Source organism: Homo sapiens, chromosome 3, assembly GCF_000001405.40.
Source record: "Homo sapiens chromosome 3, GRCh38.p14 Primary Assembly".
NCBI lineage: Eukaryota > Metazoa > Chordata > Mammalia > Primates > Hominidae > Homo > Homo sapiens.
The window spans coordinates 101,596,144-101,609,557 of record NC_000003.12 but is presented as its reverse complement, the minus strand read 5'-3'; the positions used below and the strand labels follow the sequence as shown (position 1 = coordinate 101,609,557).

Sequence of the window (13,414 nt, the reverse complement as noted above, 5' to 3'; positions counted from 1 at the left end):
GGAGCTGTCATCTCATATGATTAAAAAAAAATGCCTTCTGAAATACTTCCTGAAGGACCTACCTGAGGCTGGTATTACAATTAATTTTTTTAATAAGTGGGAGTACACTCTAAAACAACAATAAAAAGAATAGTATAGTGAATAAATAAGTTAGTAATATAGTCATTTATTGTCAAGTATTATGAATTATACATAATTGTATTGCTGTAATTTTTTTTTTTTTTTTTTTTTGAGACAGAGTCTCGCTCCCTCACCCAGGCTGGAGTGCAGTGGCGTGATCTCTGCTCGCTGCAAGCTCCGCCTCCTGGGTTCTGGCCATTCTCCTGCCTCAGCCTCCCGAGTAGCTGAGACTACAGGCGCCCGCCACCACACCCGGCTAATATTTTGTATTTTTAGTAGAGACAGGGTTTCACCGTGTTAGCCAGGATGGTCTTGATCTCCTGACCTCGTGATCCACCCGCCTCGGCCTCCCAAAGTGTTGGGATTACAGGTGTAAGCCACTGCACCCAGCCATTTGTGGTTTTTTTTTTGAGACAGAGTCTTGCTCTGTCGCCCAGGCTGGGGTGCAGTGGTGTGATCTCAGCTCACTGCAACTCCCGCTTCCCGGGTTCAAGTGATTCTCCGGCCTCTGCCTCCCGAGTAGCTGGGATTACAGGCGCCCACCACCATGCCCAGCTAATTTTTTTTTTATTATTATTATTTTTGAGACAGAGTCTTGCTCTGTTGCCCAGGCTAGAGTGCAGCAGCACGATCTCAGCTCACTGCAACCTCCGCCTCCCAGGTTCAAGCAATTCTCCTGCCTTAGCCTCTCAAGTAGCTGGGATTATAGGTGCCTGCCACAGCGCCCGGCTACTTTTTTTTTTTTTTTTTTTTTTTTTTTTTTTTTTTTAGTAGAGACGGGGTTCCACCATCTTGGCCAGTCTGACTTCGTGAGCCACCTGCCTCGGCCTCCCAAAGTGCTGGGATTACAGGTGTGAGCCACCGCAGCTGGCCTGTATTGCTATACTTTTATAGGTGTGGCAGTGCAGCATACACTAGCATCAGCACAAACGTGAATAATTCATTGTGCTATGACATTACAATGACTGTGATATCACTGGGTGCTAGACATTTTTCAACTCCATTATAATCTTATGAGACCACCATCATTTATGTGGTCCGTTGTTGGCCAACATGTCATTTTGCAGCACATGACTGTATGTGTATAACAGGAATACCAGAGGGAGGGGAGAGAAAAAGGCAGAAAAATATATTTGTAAAAATAATAATGGAAAACTTCCAAAATTTATTTTAAAATAATAACTTATATATCCAAAAAGCTCAACAAACTCCAAAAAGGATAAACACAAAGAAATGCCAGAAGACATCATAGTAAAAATGCTGAAATGCAAAGATAAGAATGAAATTCTAGTCCAGGCACTGTGGCTCACGCCTGTAATCCCAGCACTTTGGGAGGCCAAGGCGGGTGGATCATGAGGTCAGGAGATTGAGACCATCCTGGCTAACATGGTGAAACCCCGTCTCTATTAAAAATACAAAAAATTAGCTGGGTGTGGCGGCACGCGCCTGTAGTCCCAGCTACTCCGGAGGCTGAGGCGGGAGAATGGTACGAACCTGGGAGGTGGAGCTTGCAGTGAGCTGAGATCGCGCCACTGCACTCCAGCCTGAGCGACAGAGCGAGACTCCGTCTCAAAAAAAAAAAAAAGAATCAAATTCTAAAAGAAGCAAGAGAAAGACAAATCATCACTTACAGGGAAATCCCAATAAGATTAACAGATGGCTTCTCAGCAGAAACAATGAAGGGCAGAAAGTAGTAGGATTACATATTCAAAATGCTCAAAGGAAAAAACAAAACAGTGTCTATGAGAAGTCCTATATCCAGTAAGGTATTTTTCAAAAATAAGAACATAAAGACTACCAGATAGACAAATGCTGTGAAAAGTTGTTAGCAGATCTGTGTTAACGAAATACTAAAGGAAATTCTTCAGGCTGAAAGCAATCAACACAGATGATTATTCAAATCCACATTAAAAAAAGCACAGGTAAAAGTAGTAATGAAATTATAACAGACAGGTTAAATGTATAATCATTCTCCTTTCTTAACTAATTTAACATGCATTGTATAAAATAATATGTATATAATGTACAGGTGAGCCAATAATACATATAATGTAATATGTGTAATATAATAACTGCACAAAGAGGTGAGTGACAGCAAACCTATATTGGGCTAAGGAAATGGTAATGGTAAAGTAATAATTATAATAATATATTGTTGGGGTTGTATCATTAGTAGATATAATACGTTTAATAATAATACTACAGGCTGGGCACAGTGACTCATGCCTATAATCCCAGCACTTTCAGAGGCTGAGGTGGGTGGATCACCTGAGGTCAGGAGTTTGAGACCAGCCTGGCCAATATGGTGAAACCCCATCTATACTAAAAATACAAAAATTAGCTGGGTGTGGTGGTGGGTGCCTGTAATCTCAGCTACTCGAGAGGCTAAGGCAGGAGAATTGCTTGAACCCAGCAGGCAGAGGTTGTGGAGAATGAAGATCGCACCACTGCACTCCAGTCTGGGTGACAGAGCGAAACTCTGTCTCAAATACTAATAATAATAATAATAATAATAATAATAGTAATAATAATACAAAAGTGAGGAAAAGGGAATAGAGCTGTAAGAAAAATAACCTTTCTATAGATAAAAAATTAAGCAAGTATAAATCTGACACTGATTTTGATCAGAAGGTTGCATGTTCATGTTATGTTGGGGTTAAAAAAAATTTATGGTAGACCCTAGCGCAATCACACAAAAAAAATACTCAAAAAAGAAGTCAAAAATGATTAAATTTAAGTGCTACATTAGAAAATATCCACTCAAGAAAAAGCAGTAACAGAGAAACAAAAAAAGACATGAGACATACAGATAACAAAAAATAAAATAGACAAAAATACAACTATATAAATAAAACATTAAATGTGAATAGATTGGCTGGGCATGGTGGCTCATGCCTGTAATCCCAGCACTTTGGGAGGCCAAGGCAGGTGGATCACCTGAGGTGATCAAGACCAGCCTGGCCAACATGGTGAAACCCTGTCTCTACTAAAACTACAAAAAATTAGCTGGGCATGGTGGCAGGTGTCTGTAATCCCAGCTACTCAGAGGCTGAGGCAGGAGAATCACTTGAACCCAGGAGATGGAGGTTGCAGTGAGCCGAGATTGCACCATTACATTCCAGCCTGGGCAACAAGAGTGAAATTCCATCTCAAATAAATAAATAAATAAAGTGAATAGATTAAACAATCCAATCAAAAGGCAGAGATTGTCAGGCTGGATAGAAACAAAACAAGTGACCCAAGTATATGATGTCTACAGGAGACACAATTTAGATTCAAAGATAAAAATAGATTAGAAGGATGGAAAAAGATGTATCATGCAAAAAGTAACCAGAAGAAATCTGGAGTGGCTATACTAACTGTCAAACAGTATAGTCTTTAAAACAAAAAATGTTACTAGAGATAAAAACATTTTATAATGATAAAATGCTAAATTCCTCAGGAAGACATGACAATTAAAAACATATATGCACTAAGAATAGAGTGCCAACAAGAGACCAAGATGGCCGAATAGGAACTGCTCTGGTCTGCAGCTCCCAGTGAGATTGACATAGAAGATGGGTGATTTCTGCATTTCCAGCTGAGGTACCTGGTTCATCTCATTGGGACTGGCTGGACTGTGGGTGCAGCCCACGGAGGGTGAGCTGAAGCAGGGTGGGGCATTGCCTCACTTGGGAAGTGCAAGGGGTTGGGGGATTTCCCTTTCCTAGCCAAGGGAAGCCATGACAGACTGTACCTGGAAAAACAGTACACTCTCACCGAAATACTGCACTTTTCCCACGGTCTTAGCAACCAGCAGACCAGGAGATTCCCTCCCATGCCTTGCTTGGTGGATCCCACGTCCACAGAGCCTTGCTCACCGCTAACTCAGCAGTCTGAGATCGACCTGCGAGGCTGCAGCCTGGCTGGGGGAGGGGCGTCTGCCGTTGCTGAGGCTTGAGTAGGTAAACAAAGGGGCTGGGAAGCTCAAACTGGGCGGAAAAAACAAAGAACCCCATCAAAAAGTGGGCAGAGGATATGAACGACACTTCTCAAAAGAAGACATTTATGCAGCCAAAAACACATGAAAAAATGCTCATCATCACTGGCCATCAGAGAAATGCAAATCAAAACCACAATGAAATACCATCTCACACCAGTTAGAATGGCGATCATTAAAAAGTCAGGAAACAACAGATGCTGGAGAGGATGTGGAGAAATACAAACACTTTTACACTGCTGGTGGGAGCGTAAATTAGTTTCAATGATTGTGGAAGACAGTGGCGATTCCTCAGGGATCTAGAACTAGAAATATCATTTGACCCAGCGATCCCATTACTGGGTATATACCCAAAGGATTATAAATCACGCTACTATAAAGACCACATATGTTTATTGCGGCACTATTCACAATAGCAAAGACTTGGAACCAACCCAAATGCCCATCAATGATAGACTGGATAAAGAAAATGTGGCACATATACACCATGGAATACTATGCAGCCATACAAAAGGATGAGTTCATGTCCTTAGCAAGGGCATGGATGAAGCTGGAAACCATCATTCTCAGCAAACTATCACAAGGACAGAAAACCAAACACTGCATGTTGTCACTCATAGGTGGGAACTGAACAATGAGAACACATGGACTCAGGACGGGGAACGTCACACACCAGGGCCTGTCGGGGGTTGGGGGCTGGGGGAGGGACAGCATTAGGAGACATACCTAACGTAAATGACGAGTTGATGGGTGCAGCAAACCAACATGGCACATGTATACCTATGTAACAAACCTGCACATTGTGCACATGTACCCGAGAACTTTAAGTATAATAATAAAAAGGTATTATTGAAAAAAAAGTGCCAAAGTACATGGAGCAAAACCTGACAAAAATGAAGAGAAAAAATAGAGAATTCAACAAAAATAGCTATAAACTCCAATAATCCACTCTTTTTTTTTTTTTTTTTTTGGAGACGGAGTCTCACTCTGTCACCCAGGCTGGAGTACAGAGGCGCGATCTCAACTCACTGCAACCTCTCCACCTCCCAGGTTCAAGCAATTCCTGCCTCAGCCTTCCAAGTAGCTGGGATTACTGCACCCGCCACCATGCCCAGCTAGTTTTTGTATTTTTAGTAGAGATAGGGTTTTGCCATGTTGGCCAGGTTGGTCTTGAACTCCTGACCTTAGATGATCCACCTGTCTCAGCCTCCCAAAGTGCTGGGATTGCAGTCGTGAGCCCCTGTGCCCCACCGTAAGACGTTTTTATAAGCCTCATGGTAACCATAGTGCAAAAAAATAATAAATTCCCTAAATAAATGTAGTAGGTCAGGCATGGTGGCTTACGCTTGTCATCCAAGCACTTTGGGAGGCTGAGGCAGGTGGATCACCTGAGGTCAGGAGTTCAAGACCAGCCTGGCCAACATGATGAATCCCCATCTCTACTAAAAATACAAAAATTGGGCCAGGTGTGGTGGCTTACGCCTGTAATCCCAGCACTTTGGGAGGCCAAGGCAGGCAGATCATGAGATTAAGAGATTGAGATCATCCTGGCCAACACAGTGAAATCCTGTCTCTACTAAAAATACAAAAATTAGCTGGGCATGGTGGCGCATGCCTGTAGTCCCAGCTACTTGTGAGGCTGAAGCAGGAGAATCGCTTGAACTCAGGAGGCGGAGGTTGCAGTGAGCCAATATCATGCCACTGCACTCCACCTGGCGACAGAGCAAGACTCTGTCTCAAATAAAAAAAACAAAGACAAAATTAGCTGGTGTGGTGGCACCCACCTGTGACCCCAGTTACTTGGGAGGCTGAGGCAGGAGAATGGCTTGAACCCGGGAGGCAGAGGTTGCAGTGAACCAAGATCGCGCCACTGCGCTCCAGCCTGGGCAACAAAACGAGACATTGTCTCAAAAATAAAAAATGCAGTAAATTAAAACATTCTGTCAGAGATAATAACTCAACCACAAAGGAAGGCAATAAGAACAGAAAAGAGGAGTTTCAAAACAACCAGAAAAGCAAAAACAAAATGGCTGGTAAGTTCTTACCTATCAGTAATAACAATAAGTGTAAATGTTCTATGTTCTTCAATTAAAAGGCATAGAGGCTGGGTGTGGTGGCTCATGCCTGTAATCCCAGCACTTTAGGAGGCTGAAGCTGGTGGATCACTTGAGGTTAGGAGTTTGAGACCAGCCTGCCCAACATGATGAAACCCTGCCTCTACTAAAAATACAAAAATTAGCTGGGTGTGGTGGCAAATGCCTGTGATCCCCACTACTCAGGGGCATGAGAATTGCTTGAACCCAGGAGGAGGATGTTGCAGTGAGCCAAGATTGTGCCAGTGCACTCCAGCCTGGGTGACAGAGTGAGACTGTCTCAAAAAAAAAGGCATAGAGTGGTTGCTATGATTTGGACTTGGGTCCCTGCCCAAATCTCATGTCACATTGTAATCCCCAATGTTGGAGGAGGGGCCAGGTGGGAGGTGCTTAGATCATGCGGCAGATTTCCCCATTGCTTTTCTCATGATAGTGAGTGAGTTCTCATGAAATCTGGTTGTTGTAGCAACATTCTCTTCTCTCTCTTCCTCCCACTCTGCCCATGTAAGACATGCCTGCTTCCCGTTTGTCCTCTGCCATAATTGTAAGTTTCCTGAGGCCTCCCCAGCCATGTTTCCTCTACAGCCTGTGGAACCGTGAGCCAATTAAACTTCTTTTCTTTGTAAATTCCCCAGTATCAGGTATTTCTTTATAGCAGTACAAGAATGGACTAATACAGTGGATGAATGGATAAACAACACCAAACAGTATGCTGCCTTCAAGAAATCCACTTCACCTGTAAAGACACACCTAGCCTGAGAGTGAAGGGGTGGAAAAAGATATTCCATGCAACTGGAAACCAAAAAAGAGCATGTAGCTATACTTATATAAGATAAAATAGACTCCGAATTGAAGACCATAAAGATAGACAAAGAATATCACTATATAATGATAAAGGGGGTCAACTCAGCAAGAGAATATAACAATTATAAATATCTATGTATCCAAAATAGGAGCTCCCAAGTACATAAAACAAACATTAATAGATCTAAATAAGGAGTTAGACTGCAATACAATAATAGTATCAGACTTTAACACCCCACTCTTGGTGATGGAGAGTTCATTCACAGAGAAAATCAACAAAGAAACAGCAGAGGTTAACTACACACTAGATCTAATAGGCCTGATATTTATAGAACATTTCACACAACTGCAACAGAATACATTATTTTCATCAGCATATGACACATTCTCCAGAACAGACCATATCTTAGGCAACCAAACAAGTCTGAACAAATGGCCAGGTGTGGTGACTCACGCCTGTAATCCCAACACTTTGGGAAGCCAAGGTGGGCAGATCATCTGAGGTTAGGAGTTTGAGACCAGGCTGGCCAACATGGCAAAACCCCATCTCTACTAAAAATTCAAAAATTAGCTGGGCATCGTGGTGTGTGCCTGTAATCCCAGTTACTTGGGAGGCTGAGGCAGGAGAATCGCTTGAACCCAGGAGGTGGAGGTTGCAGTGAGCCGAGATCATGCCATTGCACTCCAGCCTGGGCGACAAGAGCAAAACTTTGTCTCAAAAAAAAAAAAAAAAAGTCTGAACAAATTAAACAAAAAACATACTAACTATCTTTTCTGGTAACAATGGAATAAAACTAGAAATCAATAACAAGAAGAACCCCAGAATATACACAAACACATGGAAATTAAACAACATGCTCCCGAACGACCCACGGGTCACTGAAGGAATTGAGAGGGAATTAAAAATTTTATCAAAACAAATGAAAATGAAAATACAACACACCAAAGGCAATGTAATATGGCAAAAGCAGTTCTCTTTTTTTTGAGATGGAGTTTCGCTCTTGTCACCCAGGTTGGAGTGCAGTGGCGTGATCTCGGCTCACTGCAACCTCTGTCTCCCAGGTTCAAGTGGTTCTCCTGCCTCAGCCTCCTGAGTAGCTGGGATTACAAGCGCCTGCCACCACGCCCGGCTAATTTTTGTATTTTTAGTAGAGATGGGGTTTCGCCGTGTTGGCCAGGCTGGTCTCAAACTCCTGACCTCAGGCAATCCACCCGCCTCGGCTTCCCAAAATGCTGGGATTACAGGTGTGAGTCACCGCGCCCGGCCTGCAAAAGCAGTTCTAAGAGAGAAGTTCATAGCAATAAACACCTATATCAAAAAAGGAAAGAGTTGCCCCATATGCTGTTAAGACTTCCTTGCACTAACCAGGTGAGATGGCTCATGTCTGTAATCCCAGCACTTTGGCAAGCTGAGGTGGAAGGATCACTTGAGTTCAAGACCAGCCTGGTCCACATGGTGAAACTCCATTTCTGACCAGGCACAGTGACTCATGCCTGTAATCCCTTACTGTGGGAGGCCAAGGGTGGGGGCAGATCACCTGAAGTCACGAGTTCGAGACCAACCTGGCCAACATGGTGAAACCCCATCTCTACTAAAAATACAAAAATTAGCCAGGCATGGTGGTGTACACCTGCAATCTCAGCTATTTGGGAGGCTGAGGCAGGAGAATCACTTGAACCTGGGAGGTGGAGGTTGCCCTGAGCCACAATCACGCCATTGCACTCCAGCTTGGGTGACAAGAGTGAAACTCTGTTTCAAAAAAAAAATAGTAGAAAGACTGACTAAACAACCTAACAATGTACCTCAAGGAAGTAGAAAAACAAGAACAAACCAAGCCCCAAATTAGCAGGTGGAAATAAATAATAAAGATCAGAGCAGAAATAAATGAAATTGAGACTAAAAAAAAATTAAAAAGAAAGCTGGGAGTGGTGGCTCACACCTGTAATCCTAGCACTTTGGGAGGCTGAGGCGGGTGGATTGCCTGAGGCCAGGAGTTCGAGACCAGCCTGGCCAACATAATGAAACCCCATCTCTACTAAAAATACAAAAAATTAGCTGGGTGTGGTGGCAGGCACTTGTAATCCCAGCTACTAGGGAGGCTGAGGCAGGAGAATCACTTGAACCCAGGAGGCAGAGGTTGCAGTGAGCTGAGATCGTGCCATTGTACTTCAGTCTGGGCAACAAGAGCAAAACTCCATCGCAAAAAAAAAATATATATATACACACACATATATATACACACACATATATACACACACATATATACACACATATACACACACACATATACATACACATATATACACATATATACACACATATATACACACATATATATACACACACATATATATACACACATATATACACACATATATATACACACATATACATATACACACACATATATATATACACACATATATATACACACATATATATATACACACATATATATACACACATGCATTCCAGCATGGGCGACAGAGACTGCCTAAAACCAAAACCAAAACAAAAAAAACCCCAAAAAATTAAAAACTAAAAATAGCTGGTCGCGGTGGCTCACACCTGTAATACCAGCACTTTGGGAGTCCGAGGCGGGCGGATCACGAGGTTAGGAGATCGAGACCATCCTGGCTAACACAGTGAAACCCCATCTCTACTAAAAATACAAAAAATTGGCCAGGCGTGGTGGCGGGCGCCTGTAGTCCCAGCTACTCGGGAGGCTGAGGCAGGAGAATGGCGTGAACCCAGGAGGCGGAGCTTGTAGTGAGCCGAGATTGTGCCACTGCACTCCAGCTTGGGTGACAGAGCGAGACTCCGTCTAAAACAAACAAACAACAACAACAAAAAACTAAAAATAGCACTCTCTTCCTCCGTGTTGCCTACAGAGGTGGCAGCCATCTCCTTGGCATCATGGCTGCCCTCAGACCCCTCATGAAGCCCAAGATCGTCAGAAAGAGGACCAAGAAGTTCATCCAGCAGCACTCAGACTGATATGTCAAAATTAATCATAACTGGCGGAAACCCGGAGGTACTAACAACAGGGTTCATAGAAGGTTCAAGGGCCAGACCTTGATGCCCAACACTGGTTATGAGAGCAGCAAAAAAACAAAGCACATGCTGCCCAGTGGCTTCTGGAAGTTCCTGATCTACAACGTCAGGGAGCTGGAAGTGCTGCTGATGTGCAACAAATCTTACTGTGCTGCTATCACTCACAATGTTTCCTCCAAGAACCGCAAAGCCATCCTGGAAAGAGGAGCCCAGCGGGCCATCAGTCACCAATCCCAATGCGAGGCTGTACAACGCAGAAAGTGAATAGACAGCTTATGTGCACGTTTTGTGTTTAAATAAAACCATAAAAACTGTAAAAAAAAAAAACAACAAAAAACAAACAAAAAAACCCCCTAAAAACAGGATTACCATGTGGTCCAGCCATTCCACTACTGGGTATATACCAAAATGAAAGTAAATCAATATATCAAAGAGATATCTGCACTCTCATGTATATTTCAGCATTATTCACAATAGCCAAAATATGAAATTAACCTAAGTGCCCATCAACAGATGAATGGATAAAGAAAATGTGATGTATTTACACAATTGAACACCATTTGGCCATGAAAAAGAATGAAATCTTGTCAATTTCAGCAACATGGATGGAACTGGAGGCCGTTAAGTGAAATAAGCCACGCACAGAGACAAATATCACATGTTCTCACTCACAGGTGGCAGCTAAAAAAATAGATCTCATGAATAGAGAGTAGATTGATTATCAGAGGCGAAGAAGGGGAGGTGGGGGATGAAGGTGAAAAACAAGAATATAAATGTATTACCACTGAACTGTACACTTAATAATGGTAAAGATGGTAAATTATATATGTATAGTTTGCCTCAATTAAAAATTTTTGTATAAAAAGAAATAACTCCAATTCTTCATTAACCCTTCCAAAAAACAGAAGAGGGAACACTTCTCATCTCACCTTATAAGGCCAGTATTACCCTGATACCCAAACCAAAGTCATCATAAGAAAAGCACAGACCAGTATCTTTTATGAATAAGGATGCAAAAATCCTCAAGAAAACACTAGCAAACTGAATCCGACAACATATCAGAAATACTTTCCCTACTTTCCTTTCTGTCTTACACATATTACTTCCAGATTAGTATTTAAAACTGCCCTTCATCTTTAAGCTTCCCAATTTTCTAATGGCTCTGTCTGTAATAAAGAAGCCATGCAAAAGAATTAAAGTAACTAGCTTTTTATATGGCCAAGATATGGCTGTTACCATTATTCTCCATTTCATCATGGTGGTACCACCAGCCCTGTCTTAAGAGTTAATACAGAATAGCAGTTGCTTCTTAAATTACCCCTACCAGAGAAAGCAAGGCATCTGGTAAAAATCAATACTTAATATTCCCAATTCTCTTCCTTGGAGCATGACATAGCTAATGGCTACTATAAAATTCAAATAAGAATAAAATGGAAGAAACACCTGTGTTTAAAATTACCTGGGAAAATGACATTTTCTTCTCAAAGTGGACCCACAAGAATATAATTGACTACACTTAAATCCTGTTGGGGAAATTATACTTACATATAAAATGAGGGTTACATTAACATCCACACAGAGCATTATGGTAATGTTAATGTTACCAATATCTTGAGATTTTATATCCAACTATTACTTACTTATATTCATGGTGAAGAGAGGAACCTTGTGAATCTTCCAAGTCAAACCATGCTCGCACATTCACTTTTTTTTTTTTTTTTTTGAAACAGGATCTTGCTCTGTCACCCAGGATGGAGTGCAGTGGTGTGATCACGGCTCACTGAAGCCTCAATTTCCCAGGCTCAAGCCATCCTCCTGCCTCAGCCTCCCAAGTAGCTGAGACTACAGGTGTGCACCACTATAATGGGCTATTTTTTTTTTGTAGAGATCAGGTCTCACTACGTTATCCTGAGTGGTCTTGAACTTCTGAACTCAAGTGATCCTCCCACCTTGACCTCCCAAAGTGTTGTGATTATAGAGGTGTGCCATAGCATCCGGCATACCTCTTTTGTTGTTGTTAGTAAACTTTTTAAGAGTAATTTTAGGTTCATAGCCAAACTTAGCAGAAAGTACAGCATTCCCACATAACCTTTATCCCCACACATGCACATCTTTTTACTCCCAATTCAATCTTGTTATATTTGCTTTAATCATTTGCAAATATTCCAATATCTATTACTTGCATTCCCTGAATGTCGCTTTCTTTGCATTACTTAGTTGTTCAGCTTCTTGTTATAATCTTTTTCCTCATTGGGTAAAATACTTTATTTTCAGTCATGGTTACATGGGTTATTTTGTAGTTTCTACTGACCTATTCAAAGTTTCATATCAACCATAATTTAGTTATGGAATTCCTATAGCGGGAATGAAATACTGAGGTATTGCATAAATGCATAAACTGAATTTAATTATATGGAAACATAGGCAAACCTAACGTTTGAGGTATCTTTTAAAAACAATTGGCCTGCCGGGCGCAGTGGCTCACGCCTGTAATCCCAGCAATTTGGGAGGCTGAGGCAGGTGGATCATGAGGTCAGGAGTTCGAGACCAGCCTGACCAATATGATGAAACCCCCATCTGTACTAAAAATACAAAAATTAGCCGGGTGTGGTGGTGCGCACCTGTAATCCCAGCTACTCAGGGGGCTGAGGGAGGAGAATTGCTTGGAGCCGGGAGACGGAGGTTGCAGTGAGCTGAGATCACGCCATTGCACTCCAGCCTGGGAAACAGAGTGAGAGCGAGACTCTGTCTCAAAAATAATAATAAAATAATAATAATAATAATAATAATAATAATAATAATAATAATAATTGGCCTGTACTTTCGTCTAGGGTCATGAACAATAAACATCGAAGTGTCCTAGATTAAAAGAGACTAAAAAAAGATGAAAATCCACAAAGTGATAATGAAGATCTTGGACTAGGGTTCTATTAGTGGGGCAAATCTGAAGGTCTGTAGAATAGTATAAAGTAGTATAACAGATAATATTGCAATTATGTTAATTTATTGATTTCTACAATTGTCCTGAGGTTTTGGAAAAGAACATATGGGGAACATGAGTAAAGGGTATATGAACATACTTTGTAATATTTTTGTAGTATGTTTTGTAAGTCTGAAGTTTTTTCAAAATGAAAATTAAAAAAAATTAAAAAGTATTTTTACTTAGCCACTAACATAATTTGAGCCATCCCTTCGTGTCAAGCAACCTTGATATAAGAAAAAAACTTGACAAGACACCATCTCTAAAAAAAACCAAAAAACTTAAAAAAGAGAAAAAACCTTGAAACGCATAGCCTTTATTTATTAGTCAAACTAGAAACGAATCTTAATTCCACAATGTAGTTCAAGTTTTCCATTAACTAG

General features: G+C 41.5%; 1 pseudogene; it reads left to right on the top strand.

Moving 5' to 3' along the window:
• RPL32P7 (ribosomal protein L32 pseudogene 7) lies at nucleotides 9,864-10,365 on the top strand (annotated as a pseudogene).